At 48.0% G+C, this 24,676-nt stretch overlaps 1 long non-coding RNA gene across 1 annotated transcript, besides 2 other annotated features; it reads left to right on the top strand.

Annotated features, from left to right (window-relative positions):
- The first annotated feature begins 3,867 nt into the window (after positions 1 to 3,867).
- LOC105376158 (uncharacterized) lies at positions 3,868 to 8,394 on the top strand. The gene is made up of 3 exons (XR_930142.4): positions 3,868 to 5,020; positions 5,673 to 5,861; positions 7,667 to 8,394. It is a non-coding gene; the product is annotated as an uncharacterized LOC105376158 (long non-coding RNA).
- Positions 6,202 to 6,701: an enhancer, noted in NCBI's record as "H3K4me1 hESC enhancer chr9:98363413-98363912 (GRCh37/hg19 assembly coordinates)". NCBI's record gives its function as "activates a minimal SCP1, AML or CMV promoter by ChIP-STARR-seq in primed H9 embryonic stem cells {active_cell/tissue: H9 hESC(primed)}" and the evidence as "EXISTENCE:reporter gene assay evidence [ECO:0000049][PMID:30033119]".
- Positions 6,702 to 7,203: an enhancer, noted in NCBI's record as "H3K4me1 hESC enhancer chr9:98362911-98363412 (GRCh37/hg19 assembly coordinates)". NCBI's record gives its function as "activates a minimal SCP1, AML or CMV promoter by ChIP-STARR-seq in primed H9 embryonic stem cells {active_cell/tissue: H9 hESC(primed)}" and the evidence as "EXISTENCE:reporter gene assay evidence [ECO:0000049][PMID:30033119]".
- Positions 8,395 to 24,676: the final 16,282 nt, after the last annotated feature.

The raw sequence follows: 24,676 nt of genomic DNA, 5'->3' as shown, positions 1-24,676 counted from the left end.
ACCACTCCACGAATGTAACATGATGCACGTATATGGGAAACCACTCCATGAATGTAACATAATGCATGGAAATTGAAAACACTCCACAAATGTAAGGTCGCCAAGTCCTTGGCAGGGAGTGAAACAGGAAAATTGGGTAGCATGAAGTTTCTCATCAAACATTTACTGAACCCTCATAAAATCCCAGGCTGGAAACTGCAATGCTTCCAGGCTTCAGAGAAGGGCTTAGGCAGAGACATTGACAGCAGTGCTGCTCACAGCAGGTCCGGGGGCCAGCAGCACCATCACAGTGCCTGCAAGAAAGAAAAATGCATGGGCCTCGCTCCAGACCTGCTATATTAGATTCTCTAGGGGTGAGGCTCTGGAATCTGCACGCTAACAAGGCCTCCAGGTGATCCTCATCGTTCCCAGGCACCACAGCCTAGCGCACTTTGGTTAGTCACAATCACTGCCTTAAACCCAATGTTATCAAGTAGATTGATCTAATACAGAGGCAAACTTGACCCAGGGTGAGGGTGAAATGTCAATAGGCCTACAACCAGGGCAGCTGGGGTTCCCTCGTGGTGAGAAGCTGAGCCGGGTTTGGCTTGGAACAGCAGTGGGGAGGAATTAGTGAGGCGCCTGGCAGGAGAGGTATCCATCAGTGGGGTCTCGACTGCACTGGCAGCTGCCTCTGGCCCCCCAGCTGATGACACGTGGCTAAGTGTTGTTGCAAGAATTAAGCGAGATAATATATATAAAGCACGTGGTAAGTATTCAATTAGCTACTGTCATCATCATCATTATTCTCGCCGTGGCCTCCACACCTCCAGCTTGGGCCGTGTCCATGCATATCAGTATGAGTCAACTCTTTTACCCTTCATGTGTGCCCATGTTGAGAAAGAGGTCAGGAAAGGGCATTTGCATGTTTTAAAACAGGCCCTTTGATCATTCGTAGAAACGCCTATAGTCAATAGGGAACCTCAGAGGGAAATTGGGGTCCTGTTTTGTGCCCTCCAGGCCTCTGCTAACATTGACCCCTTCATCAAAGAGATCGTGGTAAACCAACTGCAAACCAAATGAAACTGGTTTCTGAGATGAGAAGTGATTCAGAGTGTATAGCAGCTCATTAAAAAAAAAAAAAGGCATTTGCTAATGAGTGCGGCAAATGCCTGTAAATGAGACAGACCTGCTCCATTATGACGGTCTCAGAGTTGTGCAAACCTAATTTTGCAGCAGCAAGGAGAGAATAAAAACGTCTAGAGCTGGTCATCCCCCGCTCAGAGACAGGATAATCTTGGGAAACATTTTACGGTGTATCGCTTGAAGAAAAGTGCATTAGTCTTTCCTGGAAAAACATTTGGTTGACCTTGAAAATAAAAGCATTCATGAGAAGTATGAGCAGAAGTTTTCATTATTCCTTAAGCCCTTGATTCAGAGAGACAAAAAATTCCACCCTCCACTGCAGCCCCACAATGCCAAGTTGCCAAGCAACGGATCTTTTATGGTGAATCGCCACGGAGACTGATGTAAACAAAATCATAAATCCCATTACCCTGCTAAATACTAGGTCTGGGTTAGAAAGGGAGCAAAAGAGCTGCTTTTCAGGTTAAAAGAGATCATATGAAACGGTGAGTGGCAAGATCTTAGTCAGAGTAAATTGTCATGGGTGAGACTGTAATTAATGTCGCGCTTTTATTCTTTCAATGGCCAACAGCCCCCAGTTTTCTTGTATCAAGGAAAGCAGTCATCGTTGGAAGAGTCATTTCCAGCTAAAAACTTACCTCCAGTACCCCCCAGGCCCAGGCCCGCCATGGAAGGAGCAGTTCCTTGTGGTTCTTCCCTGCACTTCCCAACTGGACTTTGGCCAGGGCCCACCCAGAGCCAGGGTATGGTCATTCAGAAAACAGCTCCAAGAAGGAGACCCTCGGGAACAACATTTTGTACTTTATTCCCCCTTTCAGACAAAGGGAAAGAAAAGGGACATTCATGGAGCCCGTCTCTATGGCAGACTGTGGCAGATGACCCAGTTGTGGTACCTCATTTCATTCTCGCACAGTTCCAGGAGCTCCAGGCTACCATTCCCATCAAACAGACAGAAAGCTGGAGGCCTGAGGATGAAGACATCTTTTCTAAGGTCACACAGTTAACTAGCAGAAAAAGGGAGATTCCACCTTCAAAGTTGAATTACAGACTCAACGTGGCCCCCACTGAGTTGGACCTCAGGCCTTCTGCGGGTAAAAGCCTCTGCCTCAAAGTGAGCAACAAATCCCACGTTGGGACATTGACCCCTGCAGAGGGAACAGCTCACGTTGTGGCTCCCGTAATAATGACACAGGGCCTCTTCAGTGGTGTGCCAGGAGTGTTTAACAACCAGCTCTCTGGAGCGAGGGGATGAGTTCTGGTTTCTGTGATGCGAATATTTCTCCCTGGCCAATTTCAAGCTATCAGCAAGAGAACATTGGCCCTCCTGAGCTGCACAAGTCAGCTCCAACACACGCTAACCAGCATTCTTAGTGCTACCCTGGCCAGCCCCAGACCCGTCAAACCTGAATTCCTAGGGGTGGGGCCCAAATCTTGGTATTCTTTAAAGAGGAGAGCCAAGGGTTGAGAACTGCTGGGCTCAAAGCTTCATGTTCAGGGGCCAGTTGGCCTTTTGGGTTTTGTCCTGGTGAGAAAATACTAGGCTCCGGAATTAAGTGCTGACCGTCAGATCTGCATTGGAAAGATACTTCTGTTCTTTCCTGAGTATGGCCTGCCACCAAATCTCAAGCCCCGGCCACCACAGCCACATGCCAGCCATTTATTCCAGGCATTTTGCACACATTCAGTCACCTCTGCCCCAGACATAGTGCCCAGTAATTCCTGCACAGGGTCACAAACCCAAACATCCACAGGGAAGACAATAAAGGGATGTTCCCAAGCCAGTTTCCACAGGACAACTGCAGTGTGATGGGAACTCTGGAGGCTGTGCAGAATACCCCTCAGAGTCACCCCAGCCACGAGGCAAAACACTAGGTTCTCATCCAATACCTTGTCTGTCATTGGTGAGAGATGCTTCTGGGACATTAACTTTATGGCACTTTTGGCTGGCCCCGAGCTCAGGCCAAGCACCTTCCAAGATGAGAAAAAGTTCTCACATGTCTTAAAGAACTAAAAATAGAACTACCATTCAACCCAGCAATCCCCCTACAGGTATTGGAAACCAAAGGAAAAGAGATCATTATATTAAAAAGACACCTGCACGCATATGTTTATTGCAGCACCATTCCCAATAGCAAAGCCACGGAACCAACCTAAATGTTCACCAGTGGCGGATTAGATAAAGAAAATGTGGGCCGGGCGTGGTGGCTCCCGCCTGTAATCCCAGCACTTTGGGAGGCCGAGACAGGCAGATCATGAGGTCAGGAGATCGAGACCATCCTGGCTAACACGGTGAAACCCTGTCTCTACTAAAAATACAAAAACTTAGTCAGGCATGTTGGCGGGTGCCTGTAGTCCCAGCTACTCAGGAGGCTGAGGCAGGAGAATGGCGTGAACCCGGGAGGCAGAGCTCGCAGCGAGCTGAGATCGCGCCACTGCACTCCAGCCTGGGCTACAGAGCAAGACTCCGTCTCAAAAAAAAAAAGAAAATGTGGTACATATACACCATGGGATACTATGCAGCCATAAAAAAGAATGAAATCATGTCCTTTTCAGCAACATGGATGGAACTGGAAGCCATTATCCTAAGGGAAATAACTCAGAAGCAGAAAATCAACCACTGTCTGTTCTCACTTAGAAGTGGGGGCTAACCAGTGGGGGCACTTGGACAGAAAGATGGAAATAATAGACACTGGGGACCCCCAAAGAGGGGAGGGTGGGGAGGGGAAAAGGATTGGAAAACTACAATTGGGTACCATCTTCACTACTTGAGTGATGGGTACACCAGAAGCCCAATCCCCACCATGATAAAATACACCCATGAAACAAGCACAGGTACACCCTGAATCTAAAATTAAACATGTTTAAAAAGCAAAGGCTTTCAGGGGTGTTTGCAATAAGCAGCCTCTGGGGCACACGTGAATGTCAAGGAGGTGTGGGCAGGGCACAGGCAGCACCTGCTACACACAGGAACCAAAACACTAGTGCCAAAGCCAGGATGCTAGGTAAGCAGCTCACTGCAGGGCACGGGGAGCAAGAAGACTGCACAGCGAGTCATAGGCAGCGCAAGATGGGGAACTGGGAGACAGCACATAGCTGAAGAGAGAAGAGCAGAGAGCGGGGGCATGACACAACACCTCCCGTGGCCACGGATGCCAGGAGCTCCGCTGCTGATTTCTGCCCCTGCCCTTCTCTGGCCTCCTAGGTGGGCTTCTAAGTGGGCCCAGGACTCAGCATCTGAGAGAAGAGTCCTACAAAATGCAAGACTAAGGCAACATTGTCAGGCATCAAAGGTGTCTTCAGGGCCTCTCTTGATGCTTGCTTCTCTCCCTTTGGAAACTCTGAGTTGTGACCCCTGTGCTCAGTCACCTCCAGCTGAGGCAGGGGCCAGGATGATCCAAGGGAACCACAAATTGTGTAGGAAGCAATAGGCAACCTGGGAGAAGGTAAGTGCCTGTGTTAGTCCAGGTCTGAGGATCACATGCGAAGACAGGATGAAACATGCAAGGGTTGTATCAGCGGAAATGCCTGGATGGAGACTAGGTGGAGAACTGGAGGAAGCTGGGGGAGTTGGCAATGCAGGGCTGACCCACAGAGAAGGAGAGAAGGAAGGAGGGTGGGGTGGAATCGTCCTAGACTGCCATGCAGTGGAGGGAGGCACTACAAGGCTCTGGGGACTCCTGGAGCCAAAGGCAGTTCTCAGAGCAGCTTGTTATCTGTCAGGTGGTAGCTGGGAGCGGCCTTCAGAAAGCGTGACCTTGGCACACACACTGCCATCCATTGATCCATTTCAGATCCCAGCAGAGGATGTCGTTGGTCAATCACACTCACCCCTCTCCCCACTAGAGAATGCTCAGAAATATTGGAAGGGCACTGGATTTCCCACAAGTCGTGGAGGGTAAGGGCTCAAGTTATTTTAATTCAGAGTTAAAGAAGAAAGGATAATACAGTGTATGAAGGATTATTATCTCTAGGCTGTAAGGCAAGTAATGATCTTTCCTTAACCTTTCTTATATTTACGAATCCCTTCGTAGTAAGCACTCGTTGCCTTTGTAACTGGTGGTAGGAGGTATGGTAACTACTATAGATGCCCACTCGATCCCATTTACCAGGACATGTCCTCCAGCTCCCAGTCCCCTTCCCGCTGCTGAGAGCTCAGAGCCTGCTCTCTGCGCCCTGAGTGGGAGCCCCTCTGCCCTGGCATTTCCTCCAGCCCCTACCTCCCCTGGTAGGGGGAAGGGGGCCCCCTGCCTCAAGGTGGGACCAGCGCTGTGTGCAATCCAACCTCAGTGGCCACACCCTTGCTTGCTCCTTCCCCTGCCCAATCCTGCAAAAAATCCCTTGCACCAGAATCCTTGGTTTGGGCTCTGCTTCTAGGAAACCCAACCTAGGCTGGGGTATTTTTTTCAAAATCTTGTGTAGACTCCATTGGGGGATTATTCTCGGGTCTGTAGCCCTTGGTCTGCTGTACAATTTATTTGTGCTGTGAAGCAACTGCTTTAATTTTCAACTTCCCATGCTTCTTGAAATAAAAGATGACTTTATTTCAGGAGTGGCAAATTCAAATTCTCCTGAGGCAAAGGCAGTTAACACCAGTATATAAGGCCAGCCTGGTGGGGACCGAGGTGAGTGGGAAGCAATGGCCTCATCTGAAAGGGGCGTCATTGGCTGCTGCCACACAGGAGTGTGGACTGCAATCACCAGGTCTCCTGGACATCTAGGACATTCCAAAGTTTCAGGTATTTATGTGAAATTCCTGATGTTTAAGCGTTGGCTCAGATTTTTCAAAAAGCTCTGCATGGGCCAAACAAAACACGTCTGTGACTCAATTTGGCCCATGGGTTGTCATTTCAAGTCATTTGTTTTCTGGAACAAGTTGGGAAAAAGAAAAAAATCCCCTTCAGCACTGACTCCCACATGCACGCTGATGAAGGGGACATTCCTTTGCCACTGTCTCCTTTTCTTATCCCAAACCTGATTCTAAACCCCTGACAAGTAACCAACACGACCCTGATCCACACAAGGGGAATTCAAAAAATAAACTCCATCTACACTTTCGAGGTGGACTTTGGGTGATCTGTTGGCCTCCAGAAAATGTGCTGGTTTTTTTTGTTGTTGTTTTTTTGTTTTTGTTTTTGTTTTGAGACGGAGTCTCCCTGTCGCCCAGGCTGGAGTGCAGTGGCTCGATCTCGGCTCACTGTAGGCTCCGCCCCCGGGGGTTCACGCCATTCTCCTGCCTCAGCCTTCCGCGCAGCTGAGACTACAGGCGCCCGCCACCTCGCCCAGCTAATTTTTTGTATTTTTAGTAGAGACGGGGTTTCACCGTGTTAGCCAGGATGGTCTCGATCTCCTGACCTCGTGATCCCCCCGCCTCGGCCTCCCAAAGTGCTGGGATTACAGGCGTGAGCCACCGCGCCCGGCCAAAATGTGCTGTTTTTTAAACGCACTGCATGTCTCCCCACCTCCAATGAAATGGCTCTAGGCTGTTCTTGTGGTCTTGGAGGACTGGCTCTGCACCCAGCTGGCGGTAGTAGCCTTTGCCTCCCGTGGTGCTTGGAGAGTGAAGTGGGTGGTGCACAGGAAGGGCTGAGCCCAGGGCCCGGCCTGCGGTGAGTGCTGAGAGGACGCCAGCCTTGGTGCTGCTGGCAGCGGTGGGCAGGGCTGGACTCAAGCCCTGGCCAGGCTGCCGTTCTCCAGCTGAACCAAATAGGTTCACAGCAGCAGAGGGGTAAAGGCATGAACAAGGATACTCCTGCCCTGGGCAATCCTGCCCTTTTGTTCATTTCACACGTGTTCCTGGAGCATCTTCCTCACTGAGAACATGATTTTTCATGGAAGACCTGAAAGAAGAAGAGCGTGGACCTCCCTGACCCTTTGGGGAAGGAAGGGCATTCCAGACAGCAGGAGCAGCAAGTGGAGAGACCCAGGCGAGAGCAAGCTTGGCAGGCTCTGACAGCTCCCCGACAACAAGGAGGAGACCAGGGAGTGAGGGGAGGTCAGAGAGGTAAGAAGTATCCTGGTTCACGCCTTACCCCCTGCTGGTCTGAATCTATTTGGTTCAGCTGGAGAACGGCAGCCTGGCTGGTGCTTGAGTCCAGCCCTGCCCAACCTGGGCGACAGAGCGGGGACTCTGTCTCAAAAAAGAAAAAAAAGTAGAAGAAGTCAACATGACTCCATGGCTTTTGGCCTGAGCAATTGAAAGGATGGAGTTTCTATTCATTTAGATGGAAAGGGGAAGAAATTATTAGGGAGGGTGAATATCAGTTCAATTTCAGACGTTCAGCAGGTGGTACCCATTATACATCTCAAGATATTATACATATTCAGTTGTGTTATACATATCAATATATAGAGTAATATAAGATTACGTATCTTACATACATAATTATAAAAATATTATATATACAACGTATATTATACATGTGTAACATCTGAGTTATACACTACAACTGAAATCCTCCAGTTGACCATTAGATGTAAGAGATTGGAATTCAAGGGAATCCTTGGCCGGAGATAGATGTATTAATATTTTTCAACTCATCAGGATCAAGACGGGATCTACAGCCATGGGACTGAATGGAATCCCCTGGAGAGTAAATGCAGAAAGAAAACTAAAGGTCCAAGAACAGAGGCCAAGCCCACTGTCACTGTCACAGGGTGGCTTCAGGCGATCATTCAAATACAGGTTTACAAAAGAAGTGATCCTTCCTAAAAAACCCACAGCCAAAGAGTCAGAAGGACCACTCAAGGAGGCAGCCCCTGCCCCCCCCCCGACACACACTCAAGCCATTCACTTACCTCCCAGAAAGCAGAATCTTGAGAAATTTCATCCTGAAGAACACACGTACAATGTTCCTTTTTTCTGTCACCATTTATTTCATGATTTTACCTCAGCCGTGAACTTCACAGTCCTGTTCGTGACTGTTACATTTCACTTCCTCCCCTCTGGGCCAAGCAGACATTCCTGGGTGGCCACTGTTCAGCCTTAGAAGGTATTCATCAATTTTATATGATCACATTTCAGCATTTGAGGTTCTGCAAGAAGAGTTCTGTTGTTGACACCATTGGGTCAACTGGAGACTCCACAGAGTTGCCACAGAGCTGCAGTATGGAGCATTGGTTTCTTTCTTGAGTTGTGCTAACAAAATTAAAGATACGAATTTAACTGGTCTCGAATGGACTGTATGAGTTAGCACTTGCCACAATACTACTGCAAAACAAAACACCTCACAATCAGTGTCTGCAACAATAAACATGTATTTCCAACTCTCACATGTGCAGTTGGCTGGGGTTTGGCTCCTCTTGGTGGGGTTTTGTGCTGGGCTTGACTCTAGACTGCAGGTTTGGTTTGGGTTTGCTTCTCATATTTCGTTTTCTCCTGGGATGAACAGGCTACCCGGGACATGTTTTCATGGTGGTGATAGGAGCCAAAGAGGCAGACCCAATCACACAAGAACATTTCTGATTGTTGCTTGCATCACATTCACTAGCATCACCATTGGCCAGAGCAAATCACATGGCCAAACCCAACATCGTGGAGGCAGGAAAATATTCTCCACCTCTGCTCAGAAGGGAAAGGATATAAAGACAGGGAGGGTTGAAAAGAATCAGGAACAGTTCTGCAATCCACCATGTAGACTTTTCTTTGCCTCTACTCTGTGTACCCATGCCACATAGCAGCAGACATTTCCCAGTCAAACCTATGCATGCATCCATATGTTTTGTAAGTCAGTCGTAACAAGACAGAGTACAGCCTGGAACTCTGTTCTTTGGGGGCAGAGCTTTTGCCATGAACCTGACTTGCTAAAGCAATGAAAACGTTTGTGGGATTGAAGAGAGAATAATGTTTCCAGAGGGGCAAGCTAGGCCAGAGATGCAGACGACTTTCAAAGGGAAGAGTTGGATTTCTGCAGTGTGCTGTGGAGTGGGCTGAGACATGTGAAGTAGGAAAACCACTCAAGGGATTTTTTTCTTGTTATTAATACAATTTTTCTCACCCAGGTTTTACAAATAGAGGGAGTAATGAAATTGGCTCTGGACAATTCACACCCAAGTGTTTTGCTGATTTGACCCTCTAACCACAGGATTAGCAAGACCCATTTACCCTGGCTAGTTCTGCAAATTCTTCCGGTTTCATAATTCAATCCAAGATAATAGTAAATGGAATGAGAGGTTGCTCATAGGAGAGCCAAATGCAGGAGAAACAAAAATCAGGGGAACCAAAGACTTAAATTTTATGTATGTCTTGAATCGGTTTGGCAGGGAACCAACCAGAAAAAAATCTCATTCCCTGTTAGCTGCCTATTTCCAAATCACAAAAGCCTTGTGGGGTCTGGCCTAGCTCTGCAGCTTCTTCTCATAAAAGGCCCAGACTAAAGGAAAGCCCACTGCAAAATGCAAGTTCCCAACAGAGCTATGCAGGGAAATTATTTGGTGGCTTCCTGAACCCAAGGGTGTCCTTCAGCCTTCTGATAAGTCTCCCAGAAACCCACCAGCCAAGAACTCAGAGGAAACCATCCTTCACATCAAGGTCTCCTGTCCAGTGTAACAAGAGCATGTGCTTTGGCGATATCTGGTTCAAATGCTGTAATTGCTACTAACTAACTGTAGGACCTTGGGCACATTACTTAACTTCTCTGAGCCCCAGTTTTCTCATCTATACAATGTAGAAAACAATGACACTTGCCTGGCCCTTCCTAAGGGCTCAGGAAGTGGAAGTTATTATTACTAGGCAGTGCTAAGGAAGCTTTGTGTAGCTACAGGTTCTACCATCCAACAATTCCTCTAATTCCAATCCCCCCTGCTTAGTGGAACTAAAAATAACAAAATATCTTTCATCTTCATAAGTACCAAAGACATGCTAGTGATCCATCCAGTCTCCCCGCAAACCTAACAAAATCCATCCAAAGAAAATAGCCCCGGCTGAGCATGGTGGCTCACACCTGTAATCTCAGCATTTTGGGAGGCCAAGGCAGGAGGATTGCTTGAACCCAGGAGTTAGAGCCCAGCCTGGGCAACATAGCAAGACTCCATTTTTTAAAAGAAAGGAAAAAAAAGCAGGCTGGAGACTGGCAGAAGCAGCCCACCTACAGCCAGGTAGGCCAGGAGCCCCAGCGTCAAGCCAGACATCAGTGGACCTGATCAAGAGGGCCCCTGCGCTGGAGCTCCCACACGCTTCAAAGAACGCCTATGGCCCTTCTCTGGCCACTGTGATCCCCCCACCATGAAGCAAGAAATCTGCTAGTTTAGGATGGGCCCACCAGGAGCCCAGATCCTCTTTTGGAGGCCACGCTCTAGGGTCCTGGGGCCCCAGGTTTCCCTGCCCATAGAGCCCCAAGCCTGCTTCCAGCACTTGTGGGGCCTCTTTCCCTGGTCCTCCGTCCCATGATGGACTGTGCTTCTAGGGCATAAACTTTCAAGTCCAAGAAGTGGCCAACAGTAGATGTTTGCAAGGTACGCAGAAGGAGCTCAGAGGTGCAGGCTGCGGTGTGCACATGCATACATTTGAAGCCCTTTACAGTGTGGAGCAAAGCCGGGGTGTGAAGCCAGACAGGGTTTGCTTTGAGGGCTGAGGGATGGTTCTCCCCACTTAGGAAACTCCCAGGAATTCAGGAAATCCAAATTCAAATCTAGCTTTTCAGTTCATTAAGAAGGATATCTGCCAAGATGACAGGATAAGGTAGTCATTTAACAATTAGTTTGCTTTATTTATAAACTGTAAATATTTAGACATATGGCAGGTAGAGCTCCATATGTACTCTTGCTTTGAGCCTGCAAAAGTTAGGGGTGAGTCTGTCACCTAGCAAACCCCAGAAACAGCATATATTGATGGGATTCTGACACTGATCCCGTTAATTCAATTCAGTCTCGGCTACAGAGGCCACAGCTAGCTCATCCAAACCCCAAACACCTCTGCGATCCCCAGGGACCCTGGGAGCAGCTGCCAGTACTGTCCTTTGGCTCACGGTGACTGCTGATACCAAAGGGCCCAAGATGGCCTCAGAGTTCCAGAATCCCTGGGCCTGTGCTCTGCCCTACAGACCTGGGCCCCATCAGGAGATGGTGGCAGGTTTATTTTCCAGAACTGGCCTCGCACAATTACCCTTGCCATACACTCTTCCAGAACCTTGCCCCTCCCCTATCAAGAGGTGGAGTCCATACCCCCTCCCCTTGAACCTGAGCAGAATTGTGTGACTTCCCTGGCTGGTGGCCTAGGTGGAAAATGCCACGTGACTTCCACTAGATCATACACGGCAACAGCATTGGCTCAGTCCTCCTGGGATATGTCTCTTGGGAGCCCTAAGCCACGGAGTAGGAAGTCCCACTGCTCTGAAATTAACATGGCTAGAGGGACCATGTAGATATAGGGATGTCGGTGGCAAAAACCTGTCCTTACAGAATTGCTGCACGACCCAAGACAGGGCCGCCAAGGTGGAGGCCAGCACCAAAATGAAACAACCCAAAGTCAATTTCTATATTTACAGAGACTAATTTAAAAGATTGGCTCTGAAATGATTGTTCCAAAACTGCTCGGTGGAAGCCGGTTCCACATGCGAGAGGGTGAGGCAGAGTCTATGGGAAGGATCTGTTCCCGCTGCTGCCTGTGGCTACTGATCATCCTGATGGCCTATTGCCTAGTAACAGGCAGCGCTCTCCGTGAATCCGGCCCAAAGGCCCCGCTTGGCCCCCGCGCTGGTCTGAGTGGGCTCCCAGGTCACGCAGCCTCAGTGGATCTCTCCAGCAAGCGAATACTACCACACCTTGGCCCCAGGCCAGGCCCAGGTCAGGGGCCTCGCACAAGGGCTGGCCTGCTGAGTCCTGGAGCATCTGCGGCTTGGTCATGCAAGTGTGAGGGCCAATCATGCACAAAGGGGCCCTGGATCAAAGCCCTGGCCCACCCTAGACTTAAGGGAGGCTCAGCAGGAACTACATATATGAAAATACTGGCCAGAGCTTTCAACACTCACAAGTCAAGCATGTATTGGTCATAGCCCTTTGGGGAAAATTTTTTTTTAATTTATATCTTGTTTTTTTTTTATGCCTCTTTTCATAGGGCACGTCAGTTCAACCATCACCCATGCAATTCAGGCTAGGAGTTTTGTGGTCTCAGGCACAAATCACACAAATCACAAAGCAAGTGCCCACCGGGGCATTGTCAGAGATGTGGATACCTGCAGCAGGCTGGAAGGGGTGATAATGAATCGGATCCCAGGCCCCTGCTCAAAACGGCATGGCCAGCTGTTTGCAGCCTAGTAGGAATGTCAGCCAGTTTTGCCAGGTCTTCACTTTTTTGCCCCGAGAAACAAGAAATGTATATTTTGTCCTATTTTTTAAAATATTGGCAACCAAGGAGAAATGATGGGTGCCACACCCACAACCCCAGGGCCTTACAACTGCAGTGTGTACAAGCTGACTTTCAGCTGCCAGGCATTGCATCTCTGGACCTGGGGGCTTTTTGAAAGCATTGGAAGGCCTCTGGGCCTGAACACAGAGGCTGGAATTGTCAGAGCATTAACTCCTCCCAGGAGCATCCTTCTGGGACTGATAGGACTTGGTGTATACACGCTCCAGCTCCCTCGCCCCAGGCTGGGAGAACCCTGGGAGCCTTGTGTCCTGCAGTGCTCCTCAGCCTTTCCACCAGGAGGAAGCACCGTTGCTAACAAGTTTCATCATCAGTCCTTAACTGCTGGCTGTCCCTTCCCTCTCTCACAGCCCCACTCCCCACGAGCATTCCCTGAGACCAGCCCCATAGAAGCTGTGTGCCCTGGACTCCCTATCTCACACACCAATTCTAAAATGTTTAAATGCATAGAACCATGGTATAGGGATGTCCATGCTGCATACTGTTTTTGTTTTTTTTTTTTTTGAGACGGAGTCTCGCTCTGTCCCCCAGGCTGGAGTGCAGTGGCTCGATCTCAGCTTGCTGCATGCTCTGTCTCCCGGGCTCATGCCATTCTCCTGTCTCAGCCTCCGGAGTAGCTGGGACTACAGGCGCCCGCCACCACGCCCGGAGAATTTTTTGTATTTTTAGTGGAGACGGGGTTTCACCGTGTTAGCCAGGATGGTCTCAATCTCATGACCTCGTGATCCACCCGCCTCGGCCTCCCATAGTGTTGGGATTACAGTCGTGAGCCACCACGCCCAGCCTGCTGTATACTTTTTAAGAGCACTTGGGAGGGTTTACAAGGAGGCTAAAATCCAGCTGAGTGTCTGTTCTCCCCACAAATCCTTCCCCTCAGCGGTGGGCTCAGTGAGCGGGAAATGGGCCAGAAGACAGGCACCCTTCTGGAATTCACACAGCGATGCTGGGTGGGCTGCCAGAGCCTTAAAAACAACCTGAAGCTGGAGGTGGCCCCAGTCACCAGCCTGCACCTTCCGACTTAGGGGACAGCAGAGTCCACTCACAGGGAGGTGGCCCCGGTCACCAGCCCGCACCTTCCGACTTAGAGGACAGCAGAGTCCACTCACGGGGAGGTGGCCCCAGTCACCAGCCTGCACCTTCCCACTTAGGGGACAGCAGAGTCCACTTACGGGGAGGTGGCCCCAGTCGCCAGCCTGCAACTTCTGACTTAGGGGACAGCAGAGTCTGCTCAAGGGGAGGTGGCCCCAGTCACCAGCCCACAGCTTCCGACTTAGGGGACAGTAGAATCCACTCAAGGGGAGGTGGCTCCAGTCACCAGCCCTCACCTTCTGACTTAGAGGACAGCAGAGTCCACTCATGGGGAGGTGGCCCCAGTCACCAGCTCGCAGCTTCCAACTTAGGGAACAGCAGAGTCCACTCAAGGGGAGGTGGCCCCAGTCACCAGCCTGCACCTTCTGACTTAGGGGACAGCAGAGTCCGCTCATGGGGAGGTGGCCTCAGTCACCAGCCCACAGCTTCTGACATAGGAGACAGCAGAGTCCACTCAAGGGGAGGTGGCCCCAGGCACCAGCCTGCACCTTCCAACTTAGGGGACAACAGAGTCCGGTCATGGGGAGGTGGTGCCAGTCACCAGCCTGCACCTTCCGACTTAGGGGACAGCAGAGTCCACTCAAGGGGAGGTGGCCCCAGTCACCAGCCCGCACCTTCTGACTGAGGGGACAGCAGAGTCCACTCCCACCAGGCCCAGCTTACGTCACCACAGCCCGTCCTGCCTTCTGCCTCCCTGGCCAGGCACCTTCCAGAGTTATCTTATTTTGTTCACTATCTCCTACCAAAATTTCATCTGAGGAAAGTAGCACATCAGTTTTTTATACTTAGTTTTATAGGATAGACCATAGCTAAAAGTAATGTCCGGCTGAAGCGTATTTATGTTTTTCTGAAATAAAAAACTCAACAAAAATATCCCTGTATTCATTCATACATCAAATATGTGTTCAGTCCCAGCCACTGCTCTTCCTGCTGGGGAAGACACAAGCAAACAAAACACATAAGGACCCCTGGTCCCTGCACTCGCACTCCAGGTAGTAGAGACAGCCAAGGAGCAACAGACATAATTTATTTGAAGCAGCTTCACTGAGATATAATTCATGTACCAGGAAATTCACCCATTAAAAGTGTACATTTACCTGGCTTCTATGATATACAGAGTTGTGCAATCATCACTTTCATCACTCCAAGAAGAAACCACACATGCATCGGCAGTCACTCCCCCATCCCAGCCCCTCTCACCTCACCTCTGCCAGACACTAATCTACTTTCTGTCTCTATGAATTTGCCTAGGCCGAACATTTCCTATAAGTGGAATCACACAATAAATACGTGGTCTTTTGTGTCTGGCTTCTTTCACTTAGCATCGTGCCATCAAGGTTCATCCACGTGTGGCACTGATCCTTCACTCTTTGCTATTGCCAAATAATACCCCACGGTATGAATATACCACATTTTATCTATTTATTTCTCAACGGATGAGCATTTAGGTTGTCTACCCCTTTTTGCTGTTGTGAAGAGTGCTGCCATGAACATTCATGAACAAGTATTTGTTTTCAATCTTTTCTGGGTGTATACCTAGGTGTGGAATTGCTGGGTCATATTATGATCCTATGCTTAACTTTTTAAGGAACCACCAAACATTTCTGCAGTGACTGTGCCATTTTACATTCTCATCAGCAATATACGAGGCTTCCCATTTCTCCACATTCTCAGCAACACTTGTTATTTTTCTTTTTTAAAATTTATTAGAGCCAGCCAGGCACAGTGGCTCACTCCTATAATCTCAGCACTTTAGGAGGCCAAGATGGAAGGATAACGTGGGTCCAGGAGTTGGAGACCAGCCTCAGCAACATGGCAAGACTTCATCTCTAGAAAAACACAAAAATTAGCTGGGTGTGATAGCATGTGTCTGTAGTCCCAGCTACTCTGGAGGCTGAGGTGGGAAGATCACTTGAGCCTTAGAGGCAGAGGTTGCAGTGAGCCAAGATCTCACCACTGCACTCCAGCCTGGATGACAGAGCGAGACCCTGTCTCAAAGAAAAACAAACAACAAAAATTTCTTAGAGCCATGCTGGTGGGTATGAAATGATATCTCTTTGGGATTTTAAATTTGCATTTCGCTAATGACTAATGATGTGAAGCATTTTTTCATGTGCTTGTTGAGTATTTATATACCTTCTTTGGAAAAACGGCTATTCAAGTCTTTCACCCATTTTTAAATTGTATTGTTTGCCTTTTTGTTGTTGCATTGTAACAGTTCTTTACATATTCTGGATATTAAATCCTCACCAAACATGATTTGAAAATATTTCCTCTCATCCTGTGGATTGTTTTTGTTTTTTTGTTTTGTTTTGTTTTGTTTGCTTTCTCAATGGTAACATTTGCAGCACAAAAGTTTTTCAATTTTGGTGAATTCATCTATATTTTCTTTTGCCATTTGTGCTTTTGGTGTTATATATAAGAAAGCTTTGCCTAAATCAAGTTCATGAAGAGTTACTGTTATGTTTTTTCCTAAGAGCTTTACAGTTTTAGCTCTTACATTGAGGCCTATAATGCATTTTAAGTTCATTTTCATATATGATGCCAGGTAGGGATCTAATTTCATTCTTTTGCATGTGGATATCCAGTTTTCCCAACACCAAAGCTTAATTTTCATCATTGAATTGTTTTGGCACCCTTGTGGAAAATCAATTGAACGTAAATGTAAGGATTTATTTCTGGACTTTCAGTTCTGTTTTATTGATTAATATGTCTAGCCTAATATCACCAACACACTCTCTTGATTACTGTAGTTTTGGAAGCTTTGAAATTTGAAAGTGTGAGTCCTCCAACTTTGTTCTTTTTCAGACTTGTTTCGGCTAATCTGGGTCCTTTGAATTTCTATATGAATTTTACAATAAGCTTGCCTATTTCTGCGAAAAAAAAGAAAAAAGGCAGCTGGGATTCTGATAAGTGTTGTATTGAACCTGGAGATCACTTTGGGGAACATTGCCATCTTAACAATATTAAGCCTTCCAACACAGGAACGTGGGATATCCTTCCAGTTCACTTCTTTCAACAATGCTTTCTAGTTTTCAATGCACAAGTCATGCACTTCTTTTGTTAAATTTATTCTTAAATACTTTATCTTTTTGTGCAATTATGAATGAAATTGTTTTCTTAATTTCACTTTCGGATTGTTCAATACAATAATTTTTGTATATTGTTCTTGTATATCCTGAACCTTGCTAAACTCGTTTGCTAGTTTTAATAGTTCTTTAGGGGATTTCTTAGGATTTCCTATATATCATGTCATCTACAACTAGAGTTAGTTTTTTGTCTTTCTTTCCAATCTGGATGCCTTTTATTTCTTTTTGTTCACTTAACTGCCCTGGCAAACATAATTTTTAAAAAGTAAATTTTATAGTATGGTAGAAGATGATAAGTTCGGTGAAGAAAAGAAAAGGTGTATCCTGGTAAGGAGGGTTCGGAATACTGAGGGTTAGAGTTGTAGTTTTAATTTCTCCTCAATGAGGAGGTGACATTTGAAGAAAGACCTAAAGGAGGTGAAGGAGTTGAATGTGTTGAACATCCAGGTGGTTAGAGTAGCCAGGGCAAAGAGCCATGGTAAAAATGTGACAGGCAGGTTGTCCAGGAAGAGCCAGGTGTCACTGTGGCTGGAGCAGAGTAAACAAGGATATCCCACAGAGGGTCTTGGGATTGGAGGGTTCGGAACAAACGTGTGACCCAGCTTAGGTTTTGAAAGCATCACTGTGGCTTCCGTGCAGAGAACAGACTGAAGGCATGAAGGGAGCAGCCAGGACACAGCTGGGGGCTGCTGTGGCCATCACGGGGCCACATGATCATGGCTTGGAGCAGGATGGGATCCACGGAGGTGGTGAGAGCAGATTGAATTCTAGCCATATTTTAAAGACAGAGTTGACAGGATTTGTTGACAGGTAAGATGAAGAGTGCGAAAAGGAGGAGCTAAGATGAGTTCAAGATTTTTGGTCTGAGCAATTGAGAGGCTGATGTTGCCATCATCTCAAGCTGCAGGTTTTGAGACGAAGACTAGGCATTCACTTTGGGACATGTTTTATTTGAAATGTCTATTAGAAGCCCAAGTGGGGATCTCAGGTAGGGAATTTGATATGTGAATCTAGACTCAAGAGAGAAGCCTGGACTAGAAATGGAAAGGGAGACTGCCATCCAGGTGGCACTAGAGGCTGAGCAATGGAGTGTGGTTGCCAGGGGGGTGGTGTACACAGAGAAGACAGAAGGACCGAGGCCTGAGGTGTGGGTCCTTCCCATGTTGACAGGTGGAGGAAGAGAACAAACCAGGAAAGAGGCTGAAACAGAGCCACCAAGGAGGTAGGAGGAAACCCCACAAGCGTGCCATGACCTGAGACAAGTGAAGAGCTGTGTTAGGGAGGCAGGGATGATGCGCTGTGGCAAAGGAAGAGGAGGACTGACGATTCTCCACTGGTGAACAAACCAAGGCATGAGTTTGTCATTTCAGATACCACAATGTAGAGAGGTTTTTTTTTCCCACATTTCTTTTTGGTAGGGAGAAGCTCAGGTGGGCAGGGCTGGGGATGAAAAATGAGGGCCATCCAGAAGGGTGCTGCCAGAGATGGTGCCTGACTCTCTAGCAGGCATTTAGTATCTACTGCTGCATAACTAATACCCCAAAACTCAGTGGCTGGAAGCAACAGTTACGGTCTCACGGTTCCTACGGATCACAGGCCTGGGAGGGGCTCAGCTAGGTCCACTGCTTCCCAGTCTCTCCAGGCTGTGATCAAGGTGTCAGGGACAGCACTCTTTCCTCCAGACTTGCCCCAGGAAGGGTCTGTGCCCAGCTCATGCACATGGTTGCTGGCAGGACTCCGCTCCCCACTGGCTGCTAGCCAGAGGCCTCCTTAGTCTTTTGCCACATGGGCCTCTCCATCGTGCAGCTCAAAGCATGGCCTGCTTCTTCAGAATGAGCAAACAGGAGTGCCAGACATATCCTGCAAGGAATGGACAACCAAAGTCACGAGTGTTTTGTTATTTAGTCACAGAAGTGATATGCCAGCATTTTTGCCATATTCTATTAGCATTAGGTCGCCAGGTCCAGCCCATATCCAAGGGGAGGAATCACATAAAGGCCTGAACACCAAGAGGCAGGGTCACTGGGAGCCAGGACAGAAGCCGCCTCCCTGCCCAGCAGGTCCAGTGCGGTAAACGGGTTGAAAAGCAGAGGCATTTCACCAGTCTGCATTAATCATTAATCATGAAAAACAAGTTAGAAAACCTACTCAGGAAATGAACTCATTGATGAGATTTTTGACAAAACTTTTAAAATGTAAATCCTGGAGCCGGGTGCAGTGGCTCATGCCTGTAATCCCAGCACTTCAGGAGGCTGAGGCTACAGTGAGCTATGATTGCACCACTGCACTCCAGCCTGGGAGGCAGAGCAAGACTCTGTCTCTAAAAAAAATAAATAAAAGTAAAAAAGAAAGTGTAAATCTTGGCCTTAGTATGCAAAAAACCCACCTTATCAGAAAATCAGCTCTATTTTGCAATTGTTTTATTTAACTTAGAGCCTTGATGTTAGTTCTAAGCACCACAACTAAATGGAAAACCTGGAGTGCAGAGACTAAATCTTACAATATTCAGTGCCAGCACATTGCCTTGCTGAGAAATATGTGAATGACACATTTTCAATGTAATGATTCTTTTAAAAAAGTAGGGGGACACATTATGGAAGAGTTACGTTGTATCATCCCTGTGATTCAGGTTTTATAAGGTCAAATGTGGGCTCACTACTTATCAGCTGTGTGGTTTGGGGCAGGTCACTCAGCCTCTCTGTGTGTCCATTGTCACATATAAAATGCAAATATTCATGCCCACCCCTCAGATGGTTGTGTTGCTTAGATGGGATCCTGAGCACAGTCTTCAGGCATCTGGCCCGTCTTCCGTGCTCAGTGGGGGTAATCATTATTACTGCTATTTTTATAAAAATAAACATAGTGGCCGGGCATGGTGGCTCAGGCCTGGAATCCCAGCACTTTGGAAAGCCAAGGCAGTGGATCAAGAGGTCAAGAGATGGAGACCATCCTGGCGAACATGGTGAAACCTCGTCTCTACTGAAAATACAAAAATTAGCTGGGCGTGGTGGCACGCACCTGTAGTCCCAGCTATTCAGGAGGCTGAGGCAGGAGAATCACTTGAACCCAGGACTTGAACCCAGGTTGTAGTGAGCCAAGATCATGCCATTGCACTCCAGCCTGGCGACAGAGCAAGACTTGGTCTCAAAAATAAATAAATACATAAATAAATAAAAATAACAAAAATAAACATAGCAACTGAAGGAATTTGTGTGGAATGTGACGATTCAAAGAACTAATCCATGAAAGTAACTGTACAAAGTATCTGGCTCATACTATATGTTCAATAAATGGGAGTTACCACTACTACAGTGAATTTTATAGTGCACACTAGAATTCCTGAAGGAATTTGTGTGTGTGTATTCTCATTGACTCTGTTAAATCACATGAATTCTTCAAACAGTACTCAGGTCACCTCCTCCAGGGAGCCTTCTGGGTTCAGTGCCTAGAATGAAACTTTGACTGTCATTGACGTGGGGAAACAGAATGTGCTGTGCTCCATGCTCATGTGCCCCAGGCTGGGAGGCTCCATTCTCAGGCCTTTTCTTGGCATGTCCTATTTCTCCCATTTGGTTATGGCACCTGGAGAGTTGAGTTGTGTATCCTCCTTTTACGTGTCCCCAGGACCCACCAGTGTGCTGTGTACTCCATTCTGTTTCACCTGACATGCGTGCCATACAGCCCCAGACACTGCCCCACAATGGACAGCTGAAATAACTACAGACACCTAGCCAGGTGGTGACCAGCAAGGTGGGTGGAAGGCTACAGGAAGGGCCAGAGGTGAAGGAAGAGAAAAAAGCATGCAACTAGAAGGGCAATCACAATCTATTTGGATGCATTCAATCTTACAGAGAGCAGCAGGAGCCGTGGGTAACAACTGCTCCATGCCAAGGCCACCCACGAGGTTGTGCAGCCGGATGATGGAGAATCAGATGTGGCCAGTCAGGCCACTCCATGAGGTGGGGTCACTTCGTGGTGAGAGGAGAATTTGCAAATGAAGTTGGTTCAACACTGCGGAAGGGTCTTGAGTCAGGCAGCACAGGTCTATCAGGAATGGGTTCAGACAATTAACTTCTCTGAGCTTCTTGCTGTTATAACTAACACGTATGGAATGCTTCCTGTCTACCAAGCCCCTTTCTTAGCATTTGCATGTATTATTTAATGACACAATAACCCAAGAGGCAGGTACTATCATTGTAGGTATTTTACCAGTGAGGAAACTGAGGCACAGGGAGGTAAGAAACTTACCCTTGTTCAAAGAGCTCAAAAGTGGTACAGGCAGGATTTGAATCCGTAACACACACTCATTGAAGTCCTAACTTCACAAGGGTTATTTAAGAATTACATGAGACACTTTATGTAAGTAAAAGTGAAAAAAAAAAAAAAAGAGCAGAGCCTAGCAAATGGTCATCAGTGTTAGCTAAAATGCAAAAGAAAAGATATTGAGAAGAGTTGAGTGATTCAGTTTCAGTTGCTAACAAAGGAGTTTAGGGGCTCAGGGCTTGGCATTGCTCGCAAAGGAAACTTTCCACCTGACTCATTTGCTGCTAAATATGCAGCTTGAACAAGACCAATCTATGCAGGGAACACAGAACTTCTGTGTCAGGTAGTTGAAGGCCCTGAGAGAAGGCTCATGCATCCACTCAAATCCAGTTTCAGCTGGCATCGATTCCGTGCTTGCTGCCTGCCAGGGAACATGCAGGGTCGTCGTCCTCTGTCAACTCCTGCAATCCTCACCATACCTGTGCAGGAGTTGCCGTCATCCTCATGTGGCTGACAGCGAACCGGGGGCACAGAGAGTTTACTGTGGCCCATTCAGGATCTCACAGCTGATAGGTGATGGAGTCGATATGAGAACTCAGATCCACTTTCCCTAAAACAACTGCCACTACTTCTGTGCCCCAGATGTCTGTCTGGTCTCCAAGGCTTGGGCAACAGCACCCCCAATCAGGGCCTAAATTGCCTTATCCTAAGAGGCGGCCCACAAACTCAATTTGATCAAGACAAAATAAGTATGCTCGGGCTGAAGTTTCGGAAATAGCCACTTTGGAGCCTGATCACGGGAGCAAAGAGGAAGGGCGTTGGTGATTTCAGTGAGCTTGCTCTGCTCCAGGCTGGGACGGACATGCTGGAGAGGTCTGATGTCACAGTGCTGTTACGTCATACGATGCCAGGCCCCCGTAGGCACACTGTTCAGAAGACGAAGCCCAGGGCAGGAGCCAGAGGCTGCTCTGCAGAGGACCTCCACTCCTAGAGGGGCGGAAATAGCTTGCTCCAGGGCAGAGGGTGGATGCAGTGGGTCTTTTGAGGGGGTCTTAAAGCCACAGGGCCATTTGAGGAGATGGACCTTTCATGCGAAGGCAGTGAAAACTTCACACCCCATGAGAGCAGCCTCCCATGGACTGCTTTGGTGTGAGGTGGTCTCTGGGTGTGATGGTCTCAGTCTCAGCAGGGGTCCATGTAGCTCTCAGGAGCACATCCAAAGAGCCCAGGGTGGGGTTTCAATATTTGGAAACTGAGAGAAGCATCAGAGGCCAACAGCCCAATGCTGTTCTCTTCCTCTGGCATCAGTTCTATTTCCAGAACCCTCCTGGGTCCAGTGAGTGACCTCTAAACATCTCCTGAGGGACCAAGACCAGAAGGGCGAGTGTCTGGCAAAGGCCGCCAACCATCTCCAGAAGGCCTGGGCTGCCTCTTGTCACTTTCACACAGCACACAGGTTAACGCTCCTATTTCCTGGGTAGGCTTCTCTGAGGATAATGAGCACAGTATGAAACAGACCCCTTTGGGAGGCCAAATCCCAAAGGATCAAAGCGGGCAGATCACGAGGTCAGGAGATCAAGACCATCCTGGCTAACACAGTGAAACCCCGTCTCTACTAAAAATACAAAAAATTAGCTGAGCATAGTGGTGGGCGCCTGTAGTTCCAGCTACTCGGGAGGCTGAGGCAGGAGAATGGCATTAACCCGGGAGGCGGAGGTTGCAGTGAGCCGAGATCACACCACTGCACTCCAGCCTGGGCAACAGAGTGAGGCTCCATCTCAAAAAAAAAAAAAAAAAAAAAAAAAGACCCCTTCACCCACCCCTGCTCCTGATGATGCCTGGAGGGGAAGAGCAACAAAGCAACAGCCAGGACCCACCAGCTTCCAGGCTTCTTGCAGGAGGGCAGGTGTCCCACAAGTTTTCTTTCTTTTGCTCAGTTTGGAGACATTTTCCCAAAAATCATTCTGTCAGCCCAAGTTCAGCCACCAACTGGCAGAATCTGCAACACTACTTCTCTTGAACTTTAGAAATACAGCTTCCTAATTTTTTCCAGTTCCAAATATAAAACAAACCAAAAAAGTATTAAAATAATTTGGGCTTCAAAGACTTTCTCATTCTTAGTGGCCATAATGAAATTAATAAGAATCAGCCTCTCTTTTTAGTCTCTCTCTTTCTCTCTCTCCTCTTCCCTCTCTCTCTCCCTTCCTCCCACCACCTCTCATTTTTCTCCCCTCTTTAAGGAAAAGAAAATAAAGCGAAGAGAACACAGGGCCCATGCAGCCCCAGGAATTGCTTGCACGGCGCTTATTTACCTTCTAACTAACATTTGTAACCCAGGATTAGTGGAGCAGCCTCTTGTAATTACCCGTGTTGCCCCATTTGAGGCCGGCTATCTCCGTGAGGCCAGTAAATCTTGAAATTACAGGCTGACCACCCGGGAGAACTGAGACAGAGTCAGCCACATCTCTCAAAGGCGCTGCCCTGGGTTGCTTCCCGCCCCCCGAAATGACTCGCTGGCCAGGGAGAAGGCCCTGCCTGGGAGTGGCTCCCAGACCTCACTGTGGCTGGGAGGTAAATAAAGCCAGGGTGGCCTAGGACACCCTGCACCCCCTGTGAGTGGGACAGAGGCAGCTGGCCAAGACAGAGCCTGCTCTACCGCCCATCCTCCCACCCAGCGTGGACTCCTTCTGGTTAGGGCCCCAGAGATGGACAGGAAGAAGGAGACAGGACTGAGATGGGGGGATAGGAATGCACTGAAAAGGAGATTCTGCCTCTTGAAATGCTGTTCTCTTCTGTTGAGGAACAGAACACCCACAGAGGACTTCTAGGGTAGTGTGGCTGTCATTTTATAGAAATGGAGATCGTGGGCCAGGTGCGGTGGCTCACGCCTGTAACCCCAGCACTGTGGGAGGCCGAGGCAGGTGGATTGCTTGAGCCCAGGAGTTCAAGATCAGCCTGGGCAACATGGTGAAACTCCGTCTCTACTAAAAATATCAAAAATTTAGCCGGATGTAGTGGTGCGGGCCTGTGGTCCCAGCTACTCAGAAGGCTGAGGCTGGAGATTTGCTCTAGCCTGGGAGGCGGAGGTTGCAGTAAGCTGAGACTGCGCCACTGCGCTCCAGCCTGAGCGACAGAGACCCTATCTCAAAAAAAAAAAAAAGAAAAAAGAAAGAAATGGCGATCACAATTTGACTTGAGAGTTAACCATAATCTTGATCATACCTTTAGAATGAGTGTCAGATGGACCTATGTAACATACACCTGTTCTGGAGCTCTGGGGAATGTCAAGGTATTTTGAATCAAACAGCAAATGTTGCTCAGGTCCAGGCTGTTTTGAAATGAGATATGCTTGGCTCAACCCTCACTGACACCTTTACAAGGATGAAGCCATCACTAAGAACATTCTCCATTTTCTATCTGCAAGTGCCCTACATGGAGGCTCTTTTTGTTATTCCTCCCTCTGATCTGAGACCTTAAACACCACATATAACTTCATTAAAACACAACCAGGATTAGGAGATGTTAAAGCGTCTCCAATGCCAAGAGCCTATGATAATAAAGCGCTCAGCATTCTGTGCATTGCAGGTGGATTCCATGATTTTGCCTTTGCAGAACGCACTTCATTCCATTTTTCAATGTAGGTGTGGATACCTATAAAATCTGCCTTACTGGTTGGGCGTGGTGGCTCACACCTCTAATCCCAACACTTTGGGAGGCCGAGGTGGGCAGATTACGAGGTCAGGAGATTGAG

The sequence above is a fragment of the Homo sapiens genome, chromosome 9 (genome assembly GCF_000001405.40).
Source record: "Homo sapiens chromosome 9, GRCh38.p14 Primary Assembly".
NCBI lineage: Eukaryota > Metazoa > Chordata > Mammalia > Primates > Hominidae > Homo > Homo sapiens.
This window is presented reverse-complemented; position numbering and strand designations above follow the sequence as displayed.